Source organism: Homo sapiens, chromosome 3 (assembly GCF_000001405.40).
Source record: "Homo sapiens chromosome 3, GRCh38.p14 Primary Assembly".
NCBI classification, from domain to species: domain Eukaryota; kingdom Metazoa; phylum Chordata; class Mammalia; order Primates; family Hominidae; genus Homo; species Homo sapiens.
The window spans coordinates 155,634,101-155,660,757 of NC_000003.12; the positions used below are offsets into that span (position 1 = coordinate 155,634,101).

Below are 26,657 nucleotides of genomic sequence, written 5' to 3' on the forward strand. Positions count from 1 at the left end.
TGCATTTCAATATCAAGTTAATTTAACTGTGAAAATAATTTCATGTATCCTTCCAAAATAATCACCCTAATTTCTTCAAGTCAAAACAACTCAGAAAATAAGATGTTTGTGACCAAAAGAGGGCTGTAAGAGCCTGGCCTTCACAGCCCCTCCAACCAAGAAACAGCAGCAGCGTGTTGCTCTGTTACACCTGTGCCCTTAGAAAAGGTTCAGACTGTGCTTAACTGCGCTGCCTACTGGTAACCATCAAATGAGGAATAAGCATTGCGCAAGGTAGTTTTGGGGGAAAAGCCTCTTTTCCCCCAAATCAATAGCATTACCCTTCCCATTTTCCCAGAGGCCTCACTGTGGTGAGTGGGACTGAAACCATGGGGCTTCAGGTCACCATGACCAACAGAGGGCAATGGAGCTGGTTGCTGAGCACTTACAGGACAGTGGGGACTAAATGAAGACTGAAGGATCCACCCATAAGGGGGCCAGAGGTTCCCTCACTGTCTAGAACAACTGGCTGAAGCCTGGCTCTGGGCTCCAGAGGCTGGAGAAAACTGCTTCTCTCAGAACTGCTGCTTAAGTAAGCAGGGCCCAGGAGGCATGAGAAAGTAAACCCAGCCCCTCTACCAAAAGCCAAACCAAGCCTCATGCCAGAAAGCTCACAGAAAGAAAGGGAGAACTGCGGGCAGAGAAAGGTGTTCAGGGACCAGCTATGTTCTTAAAGTTGTATTTCTTTAAATGACAGAGTGGAGGACTGGATACCTGGGTGATTCCTATACTATTCTTTGACTTGGCTATACAGTTGAAATGTTCCATATGGCAAGAGTGGTTCATGGGTAAAAGCGTGAACTATGAAGGCTGTGGGTCTTGGAAAAGATAGTTAACTTCCCTGGACTGGACTCACTTCCTTCATCTGTAACTGGGCATGATAATGTTGTCTGTTTGATGGGACTGTGGTGAGGATTCAATGAATTAATGTAAGAAAAGTGCTGAGGACAATCTCTAACACATAATAATGGCAGACTCAACGTGTCATTCATTTCTTAATTAAAAAAAAAAAAACTAAAATCTCTCAGCTCTATTGCCAGCTACACTCACTCATATGACCTCATTCAGCCCCCATCTCTTTTTCCTTTCCATCTACTTGTCACAAACTCCAGCACCCAAAATGCCTAGTCATAGTTCTTTTTATACTCATAGGTACTTCTCAAGCCCTGCAGCTTGCATCTCCTCCATCTGGACATTTCAGTAAACTTTCAAGGCTGAAAGCAGAGCACTGAGGAATTAAAAAAGACTGTGCAACCCCTCAGCCACAGCCTCCAATGGTTACTGATGATCCATAACCTACAGCCTGCTCTGAGAGGACTATGCACATTGTGCACTTGCCTCAAGACTCAAAACAAGATTCAGACTTGATTTAACCTACCCCTTCTGAAGGTTAGAAATATCCCATATCTCAAAACAAAGGCAGTCTTTACAGCTGCAGTACACCTTATTTTTGTGACATATGCTTCTTCTTAAACATTTGGCTCACTGAGCAAATCCTACAGAGATCAGTTCATTCCTTCTAGTAGTCTTTTTGCTTGCAAGTCTAAGAGCTGCCACCTGATGAAAAGCCATGCCTTGCGGTAGAGCATTGCATGGGAAATTGATTCTTAAACATCTAATTAATTACTGATTTTCCTTAAAAATTGAACTCCTTATTAAAATATCATATATGCTTTGAATGATTGCAAATTACTGTTTAGATACTTTTGGCTGCAAATAAGAGAACGACAAATTGCTTAAAAGATAAAGAATTTTTAAATCCCATATAAGAAATTTGGAAGGCAGTAAAATTAGTTTATTTAGCAATTGAATAATTCATTGAAAATCCAAGTTTCTTCCATGTTTCTACTCTAATCATCATAAACGCATAGGTTGACAGATGGCTGTAGCAGCTCCAGGCATCATAGCCTCAAATCATTTCATCGTATCTTTTTTAAGAGGAAAGAAAACTTTTTCAAAAGTGCCCCAACTTCCCCAACTTCCCTCACATCTCACTGGCCAGCATTGTGTCACTTGTTCCTACCTACTCCAATCATTCAGCAGGAAACTGGAATAACCAATGTGATCAAGATTCACCCAGGACTAGGCAGATAACCTAGACTTCCCTGGAATAGGATTAACCTGTTGAGGCGCTGTTTTAAAAAAAGGGAAAATGTAGTCAATGTTTTGTTGTTGTTGCTGTTGTTGTTGTTTTTATTGTTGCTATTAGGGAAAAAAGTGAATATAGCAAATTTAAATCAAGATATCATTTTGGGAAATTTTTTAAGGGGAAGCTTCTAGGTGCTATTTAACTTTTTCAACTACAACTAAGTAGTTAGATTTTGTAGGCCAGGCGCGGTGGCTCTCGCCTGTAATCCCAGCACTTTGGGAGGCTGAGGCGGGTGGATTACCTGAGGTCAAGAGTTCAAGACCAGCTGGCTAACATGGAGAAACCCCGTTTCTACTAAAAATACAAAAAAATAGCTGGGTGTGGTGGCTCACACCTGTAATCCCAGCTACTCAGGAGGCTGAGGCAGGAGAATCACTTGAACCCGGAGTGGAGGTTGCAGTGAACCGAGATCACGCCATTGCACCCCAGCTTGGGCAACAAGAGTGAAACTCCATCTCAAAAAAAAAAAAATTAGATTTTGTGTCTCAGCGTGATTCCATGCCAATCTGCAAACTATTTGTGATGAGTACAAAATGAGATAAGTATGCTTATCTCACATAAGTGTAGATATATTGAAAAAAATTAGAAAACTTTTATAACAATTAGATAGTCTAATTTTATATTTGTTAAATCTAATAAAACTTTGGAGCTTATATTTTTTATGTCTCGGTTTTTTACTTTTAGTAATTGATTTTTACTGTAGTCCACAAAATTATCAGTCTGTAATGGACTGGAAATTGGAACAACAACAAAACAGTCATTCACTAGAGATAGATCACCCTATCCAACTTCTCTAATTTTTGTGTAAATTATATACTTTTAGAACAGCTTAAAGCTCAGCAGCTTTTCCCCCCAAACTGATTGGACCGTAAGCCTTTGACAGCTAAAGATACAGTCTGAACATTGTAAACTATACCTGGATGCAGAAATTATATTAAAAAATAAAACTGACTAGGATAAATTAATGAGCCCTCAGTCAGAGGTCCATTTCCCTGTGGACTACTCAGTGCCAGAAGAGGCTAAACCCTTAACTTTGGCCAGCCCCTGGGCACAACATCAAGTAAAAAGGAATTCGAAAGTTCTATATGACTTTGGCCAGGCCAGCATTATTAGAAAAACATGGTAGGTCCTGTCCTAATAAAAGATGAGAAAAGTCCTAAGGATGAGCAAAATAAAATGCCATGTAGATAAGGATCCATATCTGTAGATAAGGAATCGATTCAAAGTTCATATTATTTTTTCCTCGAAGTGGGAAAATATTACCTACATTCAATTAGCACTTTTGCCCTTTTGCTATGGAAAATGCGTTTTGTGAGTAGTCCCTTATCATTTTTATTTCCTCAGACAGCAAATTAATTCTTATACTTCTCTACAGAGGACAGGACAAACTTGTAGTTAATATTGAAGATTAGGAAATGACCTTAGCCACAATTATCATACATCAATAACACTTTCCCAAAACCCAAGAAAGAACCTCTCACCTACTTTAGTATGTTTACTCAGTGGATTTAAAGTAACCTTTCAAATCACCAACTGCAAAGACAACATTCCACCTCAAAATGTATTCAAAGTGGGCTCTTGAATTGCGCTTTTATGGAATTAACCTACCATCTTCTTATGAAAAAGTCACCTGACATCCCTGGGTGCACTAGCCAGTGCACAAAGGAAGCAAGGGGTTCAACAGTTAGGAAGACAGTTTGCACACGATCTGCACATGTTTACCGTCAAATCAAAGCTTGATGATAAACATCACTCAGCTTTGGCACATCTACTGATGGCATTTGTTGGTGGATTATGCTTTCTTCCCCTTATTTATTTCACAATGGTTATCATGGCACAGCTTTCCAAATGATGTTTTTAAGTGTTCAGTTGTAAGAATGCAAGTTCAAGTATGCTTTCTTCCTCACTACAAGAGAATATGATTTCAAATATTCAACAAATTGGTTTACCTAATGGTCTCTTTGGAGGGGTCTCCCACTATTCTACTACCCACTATCACCCCAATAAATACTCTAGTGATATAACCCCTTCAACAGTTATCATCATTGAACTTTAAAAACATAACACCATATACCTTTAACCATGTACATGTTCCCCACCAGTTTCCACAAAGAGCTAAATTTAAGCCTGCTATAAGAGAGAATCGAAATTTGGTTTGCTTTCTTTTAGACTCTGCTACATAGACTTTAAACATGCAGAAGAGCTGACTTTGCCAACAAAGCTCATCCTTCTTTTTTCCAAAGCAGCCAGCTGTGACTTCATTTTGGATTTAGGCTATGATTTTTCTGATTTTTCTCTTTGCATGTGAATGTTTATTTGTGAAGTCTTGAACTTCAAGCTACTTCCAACTCTAGAAATGATTTGGGCAAGCTGCCATGTTTATAATCTTAGAGCCTCCAGCTTCCCAGATAATACAAACTCTCTTGTTATTTAATTAATGTCAAACTCATAATGTCATGCAACATTGCTGTTAGATTTCTATTTTTCTAACATGTCTATTCTCCTAGTTACTCCTAACTAGAATGAGTAAACCTTCTGAATAAATCAGAGACATCTTTACAGGCAAATGATTAAAGGGTTTGACTGCCTGCCATAATATTGGAACAAGATCTGGGGGAAAATATTAATGAATAAAGGATTATAACCCTGGACAAGCAAGCAAATGTAGCTTAAATATATAACAGTTTCCCCCAAAAAGTAAACTGGACTTTATACTATATATAATTATATTATATTCCATGCATCTCTATATTACAGCACCTTAAACAGTGTAGATAACTAGTAAATATCGGTTAAATAAATGAGTAAATGAAAAAAATTGACAAGATATACCACCTTGTTGGAAAGATAGGTTCTTGGCTGCCTTAAGCTTCCCATAAATAAACCAGGGGCCAGGGGTGGTGCTCACACCGGTAATGTCAGCACTTTGGGAGGCCAACGCGGGAAGATCACTTGAGCCCAGGAGTTCGAGACCAGCCTGGGAAAAATGGTGAAACCTTGTCTCCACAAAAAATAAAAAATACTTAGCCTGGAGTGGTGGTGCAAGCCTATGGTCCCAGCTGCAGAGGAGGCTTAGGCAGGAGGATCACTTGAGCCCAGGAGGTTAAGGCTGCAGTGGGGCACGTTCATGTAACTGCATTCCAGGCTGGGCTACAGAGCAAAACCCTGTCTCAAAAAATAAATAAATAAGCAATGTATATGGCAATCACAGTCCTCGGTACCAAAGACCAAACTCCAAGCCTATATGAAGACATCTGATGTTATAGTCATTGGAAAATGAAAAGGGAAGGAGTGGGCTAAGGGGAGCAACAAAAGGTTGACTGTGTTTTCTTCTGGCAGTCTGCTTTCACAGCCAGTACTATGCCTGTGGCCATCTCCCAGGCTCAGGAGAGCCTATCTTACTCTAGCCCATCAGATTCACTTTCCCGGGAACTGGAAATAGAACCTTGATATGGTTTGCATTTGTGTCCCTGACTAAATCTCATGTCAAATTATAATCCCTAGTGTTGGAGGAGGGGCCTGGTGGGAGGTGACTGAGTCATGGGGGTGGATATCCCCCCCTGCTGTTCTCAGGATAGTGAGTGAGTTCTCACGAGATCTGGTTGTTTAAATATGTGTGGTACCTCCAGCTTCTCTTTCTTCCTCCTGCTCCAGCCATGTAAGACATGCTTCCTTCTTCTTTGCCTTCTGTCGTGATTGTAAGCTTTCTGAGGCCTCCTCAGCCATGCTTTCTGTACAGCCTGCAGAACTGTGAGTCTTTATAAATTACCCATTCTCAGGTACTCCTTTATAGCAATGTGAGAACGGACTTATACAAACCTCTATCTCTGCTGATCACTTGTGGGAAAGACATCTAAACAAGTGAGCTACAGGGTGGCCATTTCCAAACATGCCAAAGCAGAGACAGTCCACAGAGAAAGAGAATGAGGCAGATGGCAGGGAGAGCCACGGAGGTCAGAGCTGGGCAGGAAGGCCTGCCTGTGCTCCCAGTTCACCTCTTGTGAACCCTGGTCATCCTTGAATTCCTTGAGATGACTCAATATCCAAGATGTCTGGGTGATAAAATGGCAGGGTGGAAGAAAAACTAAAATGAGAGTGAGTGAATGTAATAATTGTTCAGACTTCCTTTGAGGGCTCTGTGAGCCACTGAACGTTTTAAGCAGAGTGACCCACGATGGGATACTCATCTTTACAATCAGCACCCTGGCTGAAAGTAGAGAATGGGTTAGAATGGAGGAAGATTGCAATTAGGAGGCTTTTGTGGTCCTTTAACAGCCTATTGTCCCAGGGAAGTATCTGTTGCTCATGTGTAATGCTGCCTACTAGCATAATTTAAATACATAGGCTATTTCTCTTCAAAAGGGCATATTTTATGTAACATCTCTAACCATTACATGAAAACTCATTCTTTGTCACCAGCATCAGTTAATTATTAGATTATTGGCCCAAAACCTCCATGATTATATAATATATATTAGGACTAGAAGTTAAGTCACCAGAGAGTTTCCAATATTTAATAGTGCCATATTTCAGAAATGCCCAGGGAGAATATCAGTCCACTACTCCGCTAGCATGGTATCCAACATTTCTTCCTTAATGTTGTAGATCCTTTCCTAAGCCTGTCAAAGTAAATTTCAACGAACGAATTCATAACATAACATTTGTGGTAGCAGATATTTTGCTAATTTCACAAAATCTTTCTAAATCCTTTAAGGTTTGCGACTCACTACACTTCTGATTATAAATGAATATTAAGCTAGCTAAAAAGAAGTAGAGTGCAAATTAGGTACTGAAATGGAGACTATCATGGCTCTGCAATAAGAAAGAATTTAGCTTTCTACAATTACTTGAGCCCTATAGCCTCCGTGTCACCTGGAATACATGTTTAATACTGATTTTCAACGTTAAAAAAAAAAAAAGTCACAAAAACAAACTCCTTTTAACACTGTTTCACTGGCCCTAGTATTTACAATTTTTTTAAATTAAAAATCTTGATAATTCAAGTTTTCCTATAACCTGTCTTTATAGATTTTTTTTTTAGATTTAAATGGTCATAAGTGTTATACTACCTCATATTTCTCTCTGTATGATAAGCCCAAATATTCCTTAACTGTGTTTGATCTACTTTGTGGTCAAAATTTGGGGGATAGGAGAGAGGTCCTCATCAAAACTCAAGATCAGCAAAAGCTGAGGAATTTTATCAACACCAGACCTGTCATATAAGAAATATTAAAGGGAGTTCTTCAATCTGCAAAAAAAGGATGTTAACAAGCAAGAAGAAATTATCTGAAAATGAGTAGAATTGGAATGTTCCTAACACAAAGAATGACAAATGTTTAAGGTGACAAATATCCAAGTACCCTGATTTGATCATTACACATTGTATGCCTGTATCAAAATATTATATGTACCCCATAAATATGTACAACTGTTATGTATCCAAACAAATAAAAAATTTTTAATTTTTTTTAAACTTTTTAAAATCTCAAGTTTAGGGCACCTGGATCCTATCAATTGAAAACTTATACTAAAACCTCAAAAAAAACCCAAAGGCTTTCCTGGCAGAGAAGTTATTAAACACTAGTCAGAAATTAATCCTGTTTAATCAGTCAAAAACCTAAATAAGACCACTAATGCTAAGATTCACCAGCTGCAGAAGGTTGGCATACTAAAAAATGGATCAAGAGTAATTGTTCCCAGTTGTAAGAAATAGTGAATGCATTAATATAATAATAAAAAAAGAATAGCTAAATCTGCCTAGCATTTAATAGGTACTCACAATGCAGTATTCACAGTGCTTTGCATGCTTGGAGTCATTTAATAATCTAAACAACCCTATGAGGTATGTGCTATTATTATCCCTATTTTACAACAGAAGCTACCAAGGCATAAATAAGCTAAGTAACTTCCCCACGGTCACACAGCCTGTAAGTGGTGGAGTAAGATTTCAGCATCCACATTCTGAACTACTTCCCAAGGCTTAGATGTTACTTTAAATTAAAAATCACTGCATTCTTTAGTATAATGAAAGTAGAAAGCAAAAACCACTCAGGATAAATTGCAGACTCTCCCACACTGTCTCCACCATCACCTTCACTGAAAGAAGTTTAAGGGGCTCCACTTGTGATTGTTAATTTTATGGGTCAACTTGACTGGGCCACAGGATGCCAAGATATCTGATTAAACATAATTTGTGGGTGTGTCTGTGAGGGTAGTTCCAAAAGAGATTAGCATTTGAATTGGTAGATAGAGTAAAGCAGATTGCGCTCTCCAATGTGTATGGGCATCATCCAATCTGTGGAGGGCCCAAATAGAACAAAAAGGCAGAGGAAGGTTGAACTGGCTCTCTGCTACATAGACTTTAAACATGCAGAAGAGCTGACTTTGCCAACAAAGCTCATCCTTCTTTTTTCCAAAGCAGCCAGCTGTGACTTCATTTTGGATTTAGGCTATGATTTTTCTGATTTTTCTCTTTGCATGTGAATGTTTATTTGTGAAGTCTTGAACTTCCTGATATCCATGTCTTTGGGTAGTGTCCTCCTACATTGAATTAGACAGTCTATGTAACCAATGGAGTATGACAAAAGTGACAGCAGGACTTCCAAAGCTAGGTCATAATGGGCCTTGCAGCTTCCAACTTGTTTTTTGGTTGGTTTTTTGTTTGTTTATTTGTTTTTTGGAAAGGGAGTCTCACTTTGTCACCAGGCTGGAGTGTAGTGGCATGATCTTGGCTCACTGCAACCTCCGCCTCCTGAGTTCAAGCAATTTTCCTGCCTCAGCCTCCTGAGTAGCTGGGATTACAGGCACCTGCCACCATGCCCAACTAATTTTTTTATTTTTAGTAGAGGCGGGGTTTCACCATGTTGGCCAGGCTGGTCTCGAACTCCTGACCTCCAGTGGTCCACCCACCTCGGCCTTCCAAAGTGCTGGGATTACAGACATGAGCCACCAAACCTGGCCCCAACTTGGTTACTTAGATCACTATGCTCTGGGGTTAGCCAGTCACCATGTTGTGTGGACACTCAAGCAGCCCTGTGGAGACATTCACATGAAGAAGAACTGAAGCCTCCTGCCAGCATCAACTTGAAAGTAAGCAGATGGTGCAGTCTCAGCTGATCTGACTATATACTCATGACATACCCTGAGATAGAATCACCTAACCCAAGCATTCTGAATTCCTGACTCACAGAAACTATAAGTGATAACAACCAGTTATTAATTTTAGGGTAATTTGTTGTCAGAAATAGGTAATAAAATTGTCTGTGTGTCTGCTGGCATTGGCATTAACTTTTCAGAGTGCCTTGATATCGTAACATAGTTCCCCTGAAATTCATCTTTAACTGTTCAAAATCATTCCATTAGTTATATTCCACATTTCCATTTCATTGGACCTGCCAGTGTGATGCCTCAGCATGTACGCTCCATGAGAGCAGGGATCATGTCTGGTGTTGCCCATCATTGTATTTCCCAGTGTATCCAACAGTACCTGGCACATGTTCAGTAAATATTTGCTGAATAAATAAACAAATAAACGTATGATTGGAGAATAAAGAATGAGTGGCAACCAAGTGCTTCGGTCTACTTCATTGAGTAATTTTTCTTCTCTTCTTTCTTTCTTAGTCAATCCCATCCAACCAGTGGCAAGTTCTACTCCAGAGATCCTGCCCAGTCCCTGATTGTTATGATATGGTGAAATGCAGGCCCAGAAAAGAAAAGCAACTTGAGGTCACATCCTGAATTAATTTCTGTGGCTGGATCACACACTGGAAAAAACAGTCACTGGAATGAAGAGAGCCAATAATATCAACAGACAGGTATACATACAGAGGCAGTACCTTGTAGTGCAGAAAAGGAAAAAACATTACATGGGAAAAATGAAGGAATATGAAGGGTGGTGTTACATTCTCCAACACCCCAGAACCACAGCTCCAACCTCTTTTTGTTTGTAGTCTCTGGAGCTCAGAGCTATTTAATCTCCAATTTGAGAAATTATTGAAGTGAGTATAAGAAGTTTAAAAGTACTGATTCCAGAGGCCGAGTGTGGTGATTCATGCCTGTAATCCCAGAACTTAGGGAGGCCAAGGCAGGCAGATCACTTGAGGTCAGGAGTTCAAGACCAGCCTGGCCTACATGGCGAAACCCCCTCGCTACTAAAAATACAAAAATTAGCCAGGCATAGTGGCAGGTGCCTGTAGTCCCAACTACTCGGGAGGCTAAGGCAGGAGAATCACTTGAACCTGGGAGGCGGAAGTTGCAGAGAGCTGAGGTCGCTTCACTGCACTCCAGCCTAGGCAACAGAACGAGGCTCCACCTCAAAAATAAAATAAAATAAATAAAATAAAAATAAAAGTACTAATTCCAAAAAGCATGCAGTTAAAGAAACAATTTTTTGAAGGAGAAGGATAAGAATTTCCAAGAAAGGAAATTCAAATATTGATTTTATGCTGTCATGTTTATACTTATAATTACTGTCTCTGAATCTGAACAAGTGAAAAATATTAACATCCTGATATTCTCCTCTTCTGTTGATAAGAACAGGCTCCTTTTTTAGAAATCAAATCTGAGCCACTGTGGCGGCAGTGACATTCAGCCAGTAGAACTCCTGTAAATGTTCCTGTCTGAATAAAGATGGGCATCAAGGGGTTACAGCAAAATTTCTTTTTTACTTATTCTTGGTGAGATATAGCTACTTCATTTACACAGTACTTCCTAATTTTCAAAGCCCCTTCTCATACATGATCTCAACTCACACAATCCTACGAGACAGAATAGAGAGGGAATATTGAGGTATTTCCCCAAAGCCCAAAATCCTGATGTCCAATTGCCCCTAGATATCTCCAGCCAAATATCCCAGTACCCCCAAGATACTCTGAACTCAGTATGTCTAAAACCAAATTCTCCATGACCCTCACCTTTTTTGTTTTTAAAGAAATGGAGTTTTACTATGTTGCCCAGGCTACAGCACTGTGGCTATTCACAGGCACAATCACGGCACACTGCAGTCTCAAACTCCCAGTCTCAATCAATCCTCCTGCCTTAGCCTCCTAAGTAGCTGGGAATACAGGCGTGCACCACTGATCCTGGCATAGCCTCACCTTTTTATAGGTACCTGGGATTTGTTTTACTCCTAGTATAAGACACATAGTCACAGAAATCACTAGTCATGAAGGAAGGAGTTATTTGTTGTTGCTTTTTGGTTTTTGTTTGGGACAGGGTCTTGCTCTGTTGCCTAGGCTAGAATGCAGTGGCACGATCACAGCTTACTGCAGCCTCAACCTCCCAGGCTCAAGCGATTGATTCTTCCACCTCAGCCTCCCAAATAGCTAGGACTACAGGCACATGCCACCATGCCCAGCTTTTTTCTTTTTTTTCAGTAGTGACCAGGTCTCACTATGTTGTCCAGGCTTGAACTCCAGTCCTCCTGCCTCAGCCTCCCAAAGTGCTGGGAGAAGTTTTTTAAACTCACAGTTCCCTAGAAACAGGAGGGATGGCAAGACAATATGGAGAGCAGGTGGCCACACAGAGAACCACCAAGGCCAGTCAGGAGGTAAAGGGAATGGGATAAGGGCAAAATGCAGGCAAATGTTTTCATTGTTTTCCAAAGCAAAGAACTAGTGAGGCAGGTTAAGCAGACTTGGGATTGACTAGTTTGAATAATTTTAGCAGGATCTGGGGGGAAAGGTGCTATACTTAGATGTCTGGTATCTGGCCCTGGAGTGATTAGGCAGGTGGATGGTGGCCCAGGTTTGAGAGACTGATAAAGGACATGGTGAGGGTATGGGCTATAGATTTGTTGGTTTGCATGTGAAAGGTGTGTTTCTGGAGAGCTGTTTACGATCTCTAGAAATCAGCTAACCCTGAGAGAGGCAGTTCCTCCAGGATCAACAAGGCCCCAGATGTGAAAGCATTAGGATACAAAAAAATAAAAAGAAATGGTTATACACCCACCTACATATGAAACCCTCTTGGCTTCAGGCTCAAGCCTGGATGACATCACCAACCACCCACTGGCCGAAGCCTCCCCTTCTCCTTCCTGAACTTCGCCCCCTCTGTCCTCACTGTTCAGTCCTTCAGCACTCACCTTAGCTGTCACCATAACTTCTGAAATGACATCCGGAACAGCGACCAGCTAGTGTCACAGTTCTGTCTCACCCCACCCTTTCTCAGCACTGCCGACCATAATGTGCAACTCCAGCCTCCTCATTCCCACACTCAAATCCTTTGCAGACTCTTGTTTTATCTTTAAAAAGTATGTGAAATTACACATTCAACTCCATAATGAGAGTTCCCTAAAGTCCTTGAGTAAAACTGCCCTTCTAGGAATAACCTTCTTTTTATCCTGATACTTCTCTAAATGACTTAGAGGGTAAAGTCACCACCATTTGGAAAACACAGGCCTAAAGCAGAGAACTGAAACTCCTTTGCCTGGTCTATGAAGCCCTCCTTGAACCTCCTCCCTAACGAGTCAGCTTATTTCCCACACAACCTGCCTCCTGCCCCAAGCTCACGCTCTCTATACTCTGAAAAGATAAACCCATAAACATATCATGCTGGGTTTGGATAAAATAGCTAAATAAAGCAATGAAGCACAAGGAACATTACAATACATACCTGTGGTTGTTTTAAAATATATTCACAAATTCTTGGACACTCCTTTCACTGGGAGATGAAGTCCAATTCCCCACCCCATGGACACAGCTAGCCTTTGTGACTCCTATCTAACAAATAGAATGCATCAGCAGAACAAACACTGATAGAGAACCTAGACTTGTTGCAGCTGCACAAAATTAACCACCACCTTCCTTTTTGATTTCCAACTCTCTTCTCAGAGAGTGAAACAATTTTGTATCAATGTCGTATCATGCAGGGCCAACCCACTTGCTTTTCCTATTCAGTAAGCTGAGGATACAAAAGCATAGCTAATGAAAAATGCATGTATTCTTAACCTGAGAGTCAATAAGGAAAGTGAATGTGGTCTTCTACCATAAAAACAAGCATTTGTCCTCTTAACGTTTTAAAGAATTCCCTACACACACTTTAATATTCCCAGGATGAAAGACGCTTGACTGCCTCATTCAATAGTAATTTAATAAGAATGTTTCTGGGGACAGCACTATCAAGCAGAAGACACACTTCCTCAACCTCTTTCTCCTAAACTTGCAGAATCTGTTACACCAAAAGACACAATGAACAGGAAATTGCATTTTCTTTGCAGATCAACAAAGCAGCCAAGTTAGATCAGACAGAAAAAAGATCCACAAAGAGCATTAGGAAAAAATACAGAGTCTGAAGACCCCTGGCAAAGCAATGCCCAGATGACTTTTGATATGAAAAAGGTTTTAACTTATGACTGGAAAATACTTAATTCTGTCCTTCACCCTCACTCTAAAACTTAACAAGACTTTTTCAAAAGTCTTTAAAAATAATAAAATTAATTTTTTTAAACTTCTGAAACAAAAAGAAATGATTGTACAATGGTAAAACAAAGTAAATATCATTCCTTTTATTCACTCAAGCAGCTGTAAGCATCAATAGAATATTCATGCAGCACTCCCTAAGAATTTCTGATCCTAATGCATAGCTAGATTCTTAAATCCTGTGCACTTTACCTGCTTTCTTCCCTTTCCCTGGTATTTACTGCCCCCACTATATGCAGTAGAGGAATTCTGGTAGAGGTCCTGAAAGAAGCAATTTGTGTTTCAACCTGCTGTATTTATCCAAAGGCAATAAAACTGAATTTGTACAAGTTTTCCAATTGAAAACTCAGAAGACTTGAAAATTTAACTCTTGGATCAAACAGGGGAGAAAAGCATAATGTAACTGTAATATAGTCATCTTAAAATCCCCCAGCTCTAGGGGTAGCCAGACTATGCCCACAAGGTCAGAGCTCAGGAATTTAAATTCTTCACAGTCCCCAGGGAACAATAGTAGTAGTATTGGAGATTTCCTGATGTCCAGCTTCAATCCTCTTACATTCATCAAATCAGGTTGAAGACAAAGAAACAAATAAAAACAGGCAGAAGAACCATCACCACAAGATGTTAGGGCCTTGGGAAGGAAAAGCAGTCCTAAAAGGGCAACTTTACGGACAGATGGGACCATTTATAGCCTCAGTATGTTTACGAGCTTCTGGTCTTGACGTCCTCCCTGGAAAAAAGACTCTTCCCCTTTACAAAGGCCTACTCCCCTGGTGAACATGCAACTTCCATCAAGGAGAAAGGCCGGGTCACATTTAAATTTCCCTACGTGCCTCAGTTATTCATATGTTCTCTCTTTCAGCAAATAAATCGTGAGCATCTACTGTGTATGAGAAGTATTTCTAGGTACTGAGAATACAATAATGAGTGTGACAGACAGAATGCCTGTCTTCATTAAGCAGGGGTGATGGACATGAAACAACAAATTAGACAACAAAGCATTTCATAATATTTGCCCTAAGTACCATGGTAAGGCACAGCAGGATATAAAGAGAAAGCAAATGACAGAGGACCTGGCACAGGCTTGGCTGTCAGAGAAGGCTTCTCAGTGGAGGTGGCTGATAATCTGAGCTCTGAGGCTGAGCAACCATCAGCCAGGGAAAAGCAGGGGCAGAGCCGGCCATAAGGCAGGACCAGCATTGCCAGAGTGCTGTGACAATGCCCAGGGAGGGGAGGCAGGGCCAACGACATAGGCCTCTTAGGCCATGTTAGCGATCTTGGTTTCCATCCTGAGAGCAACAAAAATCCACTGAAGGCTTTTAAGCAAGGAGGTAACCTGATGAGGCTGGCCTTTTCTAAAAGTAAGCCTGGCTGTGGCTTGGGGGACAGTCTGGAGGGCAAGAGGGGGGCTCAGAGGGCAATTCGAGAAACCCAGGCACACAAGGAGTGACTGAGACCAGGGCAGTACTGAGATATGTAGGCTCATAATTTGGGCCCTGCTCAACCAGTAACCATTAAATATCTCCTCAACATTGATTTAGACATGCCTGAAGCTGCTAGAGGAAAGTGAGGCAAGGAAGCCCTTGAGCATCAATTCCAGACTCGCCTCCACTACCCTATATAATTCTGTTTCGGCCCTAAAATAATAACCTGATCACGAAACAAACCATGCTACTCAGCAGACCTTGTTCCCTTAGAAGGAGGTCTAGGGACCATCTGACAGGCATGTACCCTTCAGGCAGGGTGTGCACACCCCAAGTAGCACCATGCACAACCTATGCTACACCTCAGAGCAGCCCTGCCATTGCAAGGGAGGGGTCTCACTTCTCCATCTTGTATTTCTAGTCATTTCAGTTCCCCCCCATATCACACAGCACCCTGGGACAGGCAGCTGACCCATCTTTAATCTGACTCTGATTTGGACTGTGATGATGGTAGTGGGAATTGGGAAAAAGAGAACCATTCAAAGCCCAGTAAGAAGTAGAATTAATGGCCGGGCGCGGTGGCTCACACCTGTAATCCCAGCACTTTGGGAGGCTGAGGTGGGTGGATCATGAGGTCAGAAGATTGAGACCTTCCTGGTTAACACTGTGAAACTCTGTCTCTACTAAAAATACAAAAAATTAGCCAGGCGCGGTGATGGGCGCCTGCAGTCCCAGCTGCTGGGGAGGCTGAGACAGGAGAATGGCATGAACCCGGGAGGCGGAGCTTGCAGTGAGCCGAGATAGCGCCACTGCACTCCAGCCTGGGCGACAGAGTGAGACTCCTTCTCAAAAAAAAAAGAAGTAGAATTAACAAGACTCGGGGAGTGAGTGCTTACAGGCACAGGGAGGCGTGAGGGAGGAGAGGGTCACACTTCTGCAACTTCCAGTGGTCTTCCACAAACAGCCCCCCCAAACCCCCAAATAAAACAGTCATGAAACTAATAAAAATGTGTACAGCTTTATAGCTTATGCTATTTTACTCTCATTATATCATGTGACTGTCACAACAGTCCTATGAGATGTGATAGGTATAATCCTTGTTTCAGAAGTAAAATTTCCAGCAATGACACAATTAGTACACACAGGAAAATACCCAAACGAAGAACTTCCAAATCCAAATCCATGCCCTTGCTACTAAAATGCATTATCTGTATATGATACAATAATCTAATAGTGTCATAAACAAGCACCAGCAACTTGTATTACCCCTGAGAACATGCCAGGAGAGATCATTACTGGCAGATCTAGTAGGAATCGCTATGACCAGGCGGCCAGAGGCCTCTCAAAGAAAATGTTACTTGGGAGTCTAGAATTAGCCTCAAGTCACTGAACTGGAATAAGCCTTAAGTCACCTTTAAACCACAGAGAAAATGACAAAACATACCATGAATGAAGTAGGAAATTAAGAGAAAGTAGTTGAATACATTCATAACATATGTGACGCACATTATACCTACCTCATATTCAATGAGCTATTATGAATCAAGAAAAAGATAAATCAGTATTAAAATGATTACAGGATATAGACTATGTGTAGAAGAAGAAATTACCAATAAACATGAAAAGATGCTCAACAATGCTAGTGTTTAAAGAAATGCAGATTTATGGGAGGCCGAGGCGGGTGGATTACCTGAGGTCAGGAGTTCGAGACTAGCCTGGCCAACATGGCAAAACCCCATCTCTACTAAAAATATAAAAATTAGCCATGCATGGTGGCAGGTGCCTGCAGTCCCAGCTACTAGGGAGGGTCAGGCAGGAGAATCGCTTGAATCTGGAAGGCGGAGGTTGCAGTGAGTCAAGATCACATCATTGTACTCCAGCCTGGGCAACAGAGCGAGACTCCGTCTCAAAAAAAAAAAAATGCAGATTTAAACAATAATATTCAACTGTTGGCTGGATTTAAAAGGCTGACATTACCCAGTGTTGGCTAGAGTAAACAGGCTTTCTCATAGACTAGGGGGAAAAATGTAGCACCATTTATCAAAATTTCAAATGTTCTTACTCTGAAAGTCTGCAACTTCAGCTCTTGAAGTTTACACACTGCACAAGGATTCAAAGGCATATGTAAATGAATGCCTGTTATAGCATTATTTGTAGAGCAAAAAACTTAAATGTCCATCAGAACTAATTACTTAAATCATGGTACAGTCATGGTATTATATTAAAAACTATGCAGTTGTTTAAGAGTAAGACAGATATAAGTTAGGAAAGAAATACACCAAACTGTCAAACTGTCAATTGTAATATCTACAGAGGGGAATAGCAAGTTGGGGGGTTGGAGGGGGTGGCGTGGAGGAGTATGACTCAAAAGAGAACTTTTATATTTTATTTCACATACTTCTATAGTATTAAATTTTCCCAAGGATGGGCATAGATTAATATTACAATTTTTAAAAACTAGTAAGAATGTTGTATTATGAAAAAAATAAAACTCTGGAGCTTAATGTTCCTGAGCAAATGAACTGCAATGTAAACATGCTCTACTCTTATTTACTTTGTTTCCAGATAGCTTTCTGTTTCAATATGAAGTTACTTACCACCACCTGATCTCTCATGAAACATTAATATAGGGGATCCCTAATTCCTTCTTTCAATTTTATTGATAGGCAAATTAGATGTTCCAATTATTTTCTCTGAAGTACTATTTCTAAAATCAGTCCTCAGAGACAGTAAATTCTTACCCAGGATAAACTAAAAGAAAACCTAAATATCAATCAGCTTCCATTTTTCAAGTCCTAACTTCCTAGGCTTTCTTCCATCCAGGAATCTGTAAAACTATGTAAGTTCTGCCTCAGAGTCTTTGGACCCATGCCGTTAGCTATGCAAAGCAAGCTTATTAATTTGACTTTCTTGGCAGATACACTGTTCGAATCATCTGAAATGAGCAAGAGGACACAGCAAAGCCCTTGGCAAAGATTTTAGCATTTATTTGACTTTACACCTAACACTACCTCTCATTTTTCCAAGTATTCCTGGAGAGTTTTGACAGTGGGAAGCCCGTTAACTTTAATCACTCATGCTACTGGACCCCTCAAACAGCTGTTCACATTTTTTTGAGCACCATGTTAAATTCCTAGATCTGATCATTTTGTAGCTTGCACTGTATTTGCACAGTATCATTTATCTAATGGACACGAAGAAGCCAGCATCACATAGACAGCCAGACTAAGATTATTATCCACCAGAGTTCTCTAGAGTCAGTAGGACAAATCTGACTCAATCTGACATCCAGTCACAATAGGTTAGAATCCCTGTTTAGGTTAGCAAAGGAAGAACTTTCTGTTTTGTTTTTTTGCGTGTGTGTGTGGGACCTTGTTGAACACATTCGCATTTTATGAGCCCACTTTGAACATAGCACTACATTTTCAAGATCATTTATTCATCAAACGCTTAGTACTAGGTTTCATCTACCATTTATAGAATGCTTATTACATGCAGGAAGAGTTTTAAATGCCTCATCTCATTTACTTGTTCTCCTCACTGCTGCTTTCAGACCACTGATTCCTCCTCACACCTATGAACAAAGCACAAGCCATTGGCTCTGACACCTGCTACCTCGCCTCAAAGGAGTCATAACCCACCCTCTCAGGCACTCACCCTCATCCGCTGATGATTTCTGCACCAAGCCCCACTTCTATTCTGCCATCATCCCTGGCAACATGAACTTGAAATTGGCTGATACACTACACTTTGGCAGTTTTATTCCTGGACCACTTCACTTGCAATAATCTGTCCTCCACCTACCTCAGCCTCCCACTTTAATAGTCCCACCTAAGACCTCTAATTATACAATGCCACTAATTGCATAATTCCCAAAATCTCCACTTCCAGATTTCCACTAGTCTACAAGACTACTGCCACGTGGGTGGGTGGGTAATTTACATACATTGCTGGAAGATATATAGATACAGATACAGATATAGATGTAGATAGATATAGATATAGATATAGATATAGATATAGATATAGATATAGATATAGATATAGATATAGATATAGATATATAGATATAGATGATGCAGTCTCACTGTGTTGCCCAGGCTGGTCTCAAACTCCTGGCCTCAAGCAATTTTCCAGCCTTGACCTCCCATGGGCTGGGATTACATGCATTGGCTACTACACCTGACTTGACCACCTAGTTTTTGTTTCGTTTTGTTTTCTTCCCTTCCTCTGGTGTCCCAATTATTTCACCTTATTGGGAGGTCCAAATCATTGGCTTTATTTGAACTGTCCAAATGCCTTCCTTATGGCCCTCTTTACCCAGTGTTGGTTCCACAGTCTCACACATGCACTCAATTCCTTCACCCCGCATTCCCTTACCCATGTTAGTTCCTATTCTCCACATCCTTTATGCCTGCACAAAACAAGGGAACAAAGCTCATTTTAAATATATACCCTCACTTTTCAAATAGGCCCTCATTTCCCTTGTCAGTTCATTTCATCACATCCAAAATGACTTCTACACAACTTTTCTCTTCAAATCTCCAATATCCTTCCCACTCTTCACTGATAACTTTGCTTCTAATTTCACCAATAGAAGAAATAGGTAGAAAAATTCCTCATTCCAACTACCATCTTCACCTATGCCTGTACACTCCACTTCTTCACTCTCCTACATCATCAATTTATTTTTTCTCTGCTGGATTATTCATAAGAATCTTCAAATATGCTGTCAAAACTACCTTAAAAAATTATGTTCCCTGATCCTATATCCCTCCCTAGTGACCACTCCATGTCTGCATATATCTTTAAGGAAAAACTCAAAAAAAATTGTCTGTCTCCATTTCTTCCCCTTCCTCTCTCTTTTGAATCAATTCCAACCAGGCTTTTGTCTCCACCTCTCCACTGAAACCAGGCTGATCTAGCATGCCCATGACCTCCATGTTGCCAAATCCAATGGTCATTTCTCAGTGCTCATTTTACTCAACTCCGCAGCAGCATTTCACCCAGCTGAACATACCCTTCTCCTTGAAACTCTTCCCTCCCATGGCTCCTGGGACATCATATTCCCTGGTGTTTCTCATGTCATATTGGGCAATCCTCCTTGGTTTACTTTGTTGGATAATCCTCCTTTCCTGAGATAAATCTGGAGGAGCCCAGGACTCAGCCTATGACCTTCTTCTTTCTCTCACTCTTTAGTGATCCTAGCAAGTACCATGATTTTAAATACGTGATGATTCCCTAATGTATATCTACAAAGCTACAACCTCTCTCCTGAGGTCAAGAATTGAATATTCAAACTTCCTGTCAATGTCTCTACCTGTACATCTAATCGATATCTCAGTCTTAACATATCAAAAGAAGAACTCTTGTCCCCCACTCATACACACATAAACCATTTTCTTCCTCTCTCGGGCCTCTCCATCTCAGAAATGTTGCCACCATCACCATTTATCCTGCAAGAATCTCTTTCACACTCCACATCTGACCAATCAGGAAGTCACATCAAGTCAACTCTCAAAACATATTCTAAGTCTGACCACTTCTCATAACTTCCCCAGCTTCTGCTCCAGTCCAGACCACCATCATTTCATGTAATAATATCATGACTGGTCTCCCTGTCTCCTCTCATCTCATAGTAAGTCCATCCTCCATGGTGCAGTCTAAGAGGTCCCTTAAAGAGAATCCTACCATTGCCCCACTTAATATTTTGCAATGGCTTCCAATTACCCTTAGGAAAAACTCTAAATCCCATGGTCTGACCACTGGCTGCTTCTCTGACTCATCTTCTACCATTCCATTCTTTGTATCATCGACTTTGCTTCCACTGCCCTGGCCTCCTTGCTATTACTTAAATACACCATTCCTGACCCTGTCACAGGGCCTTTGCACTTGCTCTGTTCTCTTCCTGAACACTCTGCCTTTAGATGTTATATGGTTCACTCCCTCACTTTATCCAGGCTTCTACTCAAATATCACCTCTTATAAAGGTCTTCTTGGATTCTTCTACCTAAAATATTCCCCAGCTAGGTGTGGTGGCTCATGCCTGTAATCTCAGCACTCTGGGAGGCCAAGTCAGGAGGATCAATTGAGCCTGGGAGTTCAAGACCAGCCTGAGCAATATGGCAAAGCCCCGTCTCTACCAAAAATTTAAAAATTAGCCGAGCATGGTGGCACATGCCTGTAGTCCCAGTTACTCGGGAGGTTAGAACGATCATTCAAGCCCAGGAGGTTGAGGCTGCATGATTGCCATGATTGCCCACTGCACTCTGGCCTGGGTAACAGAGCAAGAAACTTGTGAGAAAAAAAAAAAGAAGAAGAAGAAGAAGAGAAAATATTCCCCTTTAGTCGCTATTTGTGTTTCACATCTTTATTTTATTGGATCAGTCTTGCACTTTCAGAATTCTCGCAGATAACAGCAGCTGCCTGAATCCAAATCTCTCCATACATTCACCATGGAAGCCCAAATAAAGCCTTCCATCCATAACTAGGGGGTCAGACAATACTACAAACTTCCATGTACATATAAGTGATAAAATAAACAGCATAACCCAGCATAGCCAACCCTAGAATCGGACATCACCTGCATGGAAAAGAGAAGGGGGTAGTGGGGACTTAGGAGTGGTAGAAAACAAAAATCTCTTCCAAAAAGAAAGGGTCCCACCCAAAAAGCTAGTAAACCAAAGAAAGCATTCAGAAAAGAATTAAAGATGAAATTTTAAAAGAAATAAAATTATTAAATACATTTTAAAATGCAAATTCTTTGGAGAAAAATCAATAAAACAGATTACAAAATACTAGCAAAACTACCCAAGGAAGAAAAGAATGAGAAAGCACAAATAAATAAGAAACTTCAAAAGAGAAAGAACCATTGAAACAGCAGATACGTTTAAAAGATAATCTTCTACTGACTCAACGAAATAAATTTGAAAATCTAAATAAAAGGGATAATTTCCTAAAAAGATATACTTTCCTCCTACTTCACCCCAAAACAGATAGTAATAGTTCAATTTTCATAGAAGGAATAGAGAAAATTACCCCCCCCCAAATAAAAACTACCACCACAAAGAAGCACCAGACCAATGTGATTTAATGGGTGAAATTCTACCAAAGCTTCAAAGGATAGATCATCCTTATGCTGCTTATATTGTTCCAGAGCATAGAAAAAGAAGCATAAACTGCTAAATTATTTTCATGAAGCAGATATAATACTGATATCTAAACTTTATTTCATAAAAGATTATACTCAAAACTATATACAACCCTCACTTATGAATATTTACACACATATAAAACTAACAGCAAATAAAATATTATTTCATTAACCAGTGAAATTTTTTCAGGAATGAGAAAATGTTTCCTTCTTAGACAATTCATTAATGTAATTCACCATTTCACCAGATATAAGAAGAAAAATCATATGATTATCTTCAGAAATACTAAAAGGGCTTTCAAATTCCATGCCACTCCTAACTTCCAAAAGCATTCAATAAAATAGAAATTAGCGGTTATTTCCTTGTGAGTATGTGTGTGCCTGTGTGAATTCCTCAGACATAAAGTCAGCATCTTAATAGAAAAACACCAGAGGCATTCAACTAAGGTCAGGAATAAGGCAAGGATGCCCACTGTCTCCATCTAACATTGTATTAGAAGAGGCATTAGACAATGTAATCAGATAAGAAAAAAACAATCAAAGGCATGAGAATTGAAAGGGAAATAAAATTATAACTATTTTTAGGTTATGTAACCATATAACCTATAAAACCCAAGATAATCAAAGATAAAAATTTTAAAAATTTAGTAAGGTAGAAAGTTATAAAATTCACATACTAAAATAAATAGCCTGCATGCAATAACACAGTAACCAGCTAGAAAATATAATGGGAGAGAAGATTCTCATATATGAGTAACAACAAGGACAAGTTTAAAAAAAAAAAAAAAAAGTTTCTGCAACTAAATAAGCTGATTCTTAAGTTAAAAAAAAATGTAAGAATAGGTCAGAAAAGAGACTTCTGCTTCCAACCAAGATGAGTAACCCACATGAAACAAACAGAATATATGAACAACAGTTTTCAAGGCTTTGGAGTCAAGCAATGAAGAACAGTGATCTCTGAGAGACAGGAACCAAATGAAGTAGGCCTATGGTTGCCTCAGCTTACTGCCTGGAGAGATTTTCCAGACTATAAAACAGAAAAGGGGAACCTAGGAAGAGATCAGTGGTCTCTGTCAGTTGAGAAGACAAGGCTGGGAGTCTAGGGAGGCCAAGACAACTACAGTTCACAGGACAGGTTACTGGAGAGGAAACAGCTGCCTAGAGAAGAGCTCCGGAGATAGATGCGGACTCTAGCATTCGGCTGAGTACTAATTAGTGCATATATGTGAGAAAACCACCCACAGCGAGATTGGGACCACCATAAGGAGGAAACACTAGTCAGAGGTCACAGTTTAACTTTATAATAATAATCTATTATTTCCAAAATATTTATTGAATCAGAAAATCTGAAACTACGCTTATTGAGAAAGAGCTAAGATATTCCCAAACATTCCGCATTATTTACGCTTTAAACTTTACCAATAAAATACAAAGGGATTCATATAGTAAACAATACCTTGCTTTCTTATCTTGCAAGATGGCAGGTGAAAACTTTAAAAGGCTGGATACTAAGAAGAGACTGGAAGCCAAGAAAGCTGATACTAGTGGCAAAGTGAAAAAGGGTAAGTCAAGGTGAAAAAGGCTAAGTCAAGGCGAAAAAGTCCAAGAAGAGGAAACTCCAGTGCAGCCGAAATCCTGTCCTGATCAGAGGAACTGGCAGATATTCCCTGTCTACTGTGTATTCCAGAAAGGCCAGATACAAGAGGAGGTACTCGCCACTAAATTCAAGATTGAAAAGGAAAAGGAAAAGGTTCATGCAACTGTTACAAAACCGGTTGGTGGTGACAAGGATGGTGGTACCCAGGTGGTTAAACTCTGCAAAATGCATAGATATTATCCTACCGAAGATGTGCCTCGAAAGCTGTTGAGCCACAGCAAAAAGCCCTCAGTCAGCACAGAGGAAACTGCGAGGCAACATCACTCTTGGGACCGTTCTGATCATCCTCCCTGGGCACCACACAGGCAAGAGGGTGGCTTTCCTGAAGCAGCTGGGCAGTGGCTTGTTACTTGTGACTGGATCTCTAGTTCTCAATCAAGTTCCTCTGTGAGGAGCACACCAGAAATTTGTCATCACCACCTCCACAAAAATTGATATCAGCAATGTGAGAATCCCAAAACATCTCACTGATACCAACCTCAAGAAGCAGCAGCTGCGGAAGCCCAGACACGGGAAGGTGAGATCTCCAACACAGAAAAAGAGAAATACGAGATTACAGAACGGTGCAAGTTTGATTAGAAAGATGTGGACTTGCACATTTTACTAAAATAATCAAAGCTGATCCATGTTTGCCCTGACGAATAGAGTTTATCCCCACAAATTGGTGCTCTAAATTTCTTACCAAAAACCTAATTAAATAACTGATTTTAAAAAAAAAGAATATTCCTTAAAAAATAAAATTTACTTTTAAAAAAGTTTATTTCTCTAGTCAATCTCTATTCACTTTTGATGCAACTACTTCAGTAACTGAAATAGTTGATGACAAGTTAACTCAATGGTCAAATATTCCTACCGACAAGTATGCCTTTCACATTTGGAAAGAAGTAGTCACACATATAATTGTACTCTTTGTCCCTGGCTGCCTGCCAAAAGCAATCACAGTTCAATATTACAGCTTCTCCTTCACAAGTAATTAAGAAGTTAATCTTACTTAGAAAACGTAATTATCCAGCAGACCATAGCACCAACTTAACTGGTTGACATGAGTGAAATCTCAAAGACAAAGGAGCCATACCACATTCAAAGACAAAATCAAAATTGTCTTCTTAGCTGCCACATCATCACTGTTTGGAGATGTGTGAAGCCCATCACAACCCATCAGTAACGGGGAACCAAGACATCTCAGCTTCTTTAAAACACCAAGAAGCAATGGGGCTGAAGGACACTGGGCACAGTTAAATTCCTAGTTCGTCAGGACAAGAGATGATGTCTTAATAACTAAGGAGACTTCCCAAGCTCAAAACTTCAGAATATTCCTTCACTGCTCTGACCACAGGCCAGGCGTGAGATGTCTATTCACTTCTTTTTTTTTTTTTTTTTTTTTTTTTTTTTTTTTTTTTTTTTCCGAGATAGGGTTTCACTCTGTCACCCAGGCTGGAGCACAGTGGCATGATCACGGCTCACTGCCTGAACCTCCTGCATTCAAGCAATCCTCCCTGTTCAGCCTCCAGAGCAGCTCAGAGTACAGACTAATGCCATCAGGTCTGGCTCATTTTTGTTTTTGTTTTTGGTTTTTTGTTTTGAGATAGACTCTCTGTTGCCCAGGCTGGAGTGCAGTAGCATGATCTCGGCTCACTGCAACTCCACCTCCCAGGTTCAAGCGATTCTCCTGCCTCAGCCTCCCGAGTAGCTGGGATGACAGGCGCCCACCACCATGCCCAGCTAATTTTTGTATTTTTAGTAGAGATGGGGTTTCACCATGTTGGCCAGGCTGGTCTTGAACTCCTGACCTCAGGTGATCCAGCCACCTCGGCCTCCCAAAGGACTGGGATTACAGGTGTGAGCCACTGCGCTCAGCTAATTTTTGTAATTTTTTTAGAGATGGAGTCTCACTATGTTGGCCAGGATAGACTCGAACTCCTGGGCTCAAGCAATCCACCACCTTCAGCCTCCAAAAGCATTGGGATTACAAGCATAAGCCACCACGCCCAGCTGTCTATTCACTTCTAATAATTTCCTAACATCAGTCGATCATTAGAAAAAGAGAAGTTCTGCTTAATTTGACACTGGCATATCAAGTGCCTGCTATGTTATATGTTAACTTGGAAAGAATCATTACCTATATTCATGAGTGGGGGAGCCAGATGTCTTCTAGAATGGATGGATCTCCTGACAAGGCACCCATACCTGAATTATGAACGTGGCTGCCCACTCTCTGTGGCAGTCCTCCGTGCCTAACAGGCTGAACACAATTGAAAGTCGGACTTTTCCTAATACAGCAGAGCCACGGCCTGCCTGGATATAACATCTTTTGGGAAACTATATTCTTTTCAAAAGTCAACAGCCACTTTTACCAACCTATTCTCTCTCCAAGATGGCTCTCAGAGCAAATTCTGAAATTCTTAAGAATACTGCATACACTGAAGGCATTTGAAATTGAGATGGAAGCAGCAGGCCAACTCCAAGGCTATTTCCAGTCAACCCCTGTAGGTCTTACACAATAAAGACTTTTTGGTGGTTAGTATACCTTAGAAACTTGCTGTGTGCACAGTTCCATTCTGGAGAATACAGAGATTGACAAAGGCAGACAGCACCATTTTTGCCCCTGAAAAACATATACTTCATCCTAATATCCTAATTTTAAAGTGATCTAACTACAGCTGCTCCTGAACTTTAGCTGAATAATTTCAATTACTACAGGAGTTGGGGGTAGGGGGTTTGCCCTAAAATAACTTTTCTATCCATCTACCCATATCAGTCTCTAGAGTTTTGCCTCATCTTCTGTGCATTGGGATTTTACATTATCAAAAGAAAATCA

General features: G+C 40.4%; 1 protein-coding gene and 1 pseudogene across 19 annotated transcripts in view; one reads left to right on the top strand and one right to left on the bottom strand.

The window, feature by feature from the left end:
- The window catches only part of PLCH1 (phospholipase C eta 1), a 294,138-nt gene that overhangs the window by 183,167 nt on the left and 84,314 nt on the right, over nt 1-26,657 (bottom strand). The window contains exon 1 of one of the 19 annotated variants that reach the window (XM_011512565.3): nt 12,800-13,637. The exons of 17 other annotated variants lie outside the window; for them this stretch is intronic. The gene's annotated coding sequence lies outside the window, so the exon portion shown is untranslated. Of the gene's footprint in view, nt 1-12,269; nt 12,751-12,799; nt 13,638-26,657 lie in introns of those variants that run through there. One more of the 19 variants, XM_011512566.3, reaches the window with a different exon arrangement.
- Nucleotides 23,643-24,544, top strand: RPL6P7 (ribosomal protein L6 pseudogene 7; annotated as a pseudogene).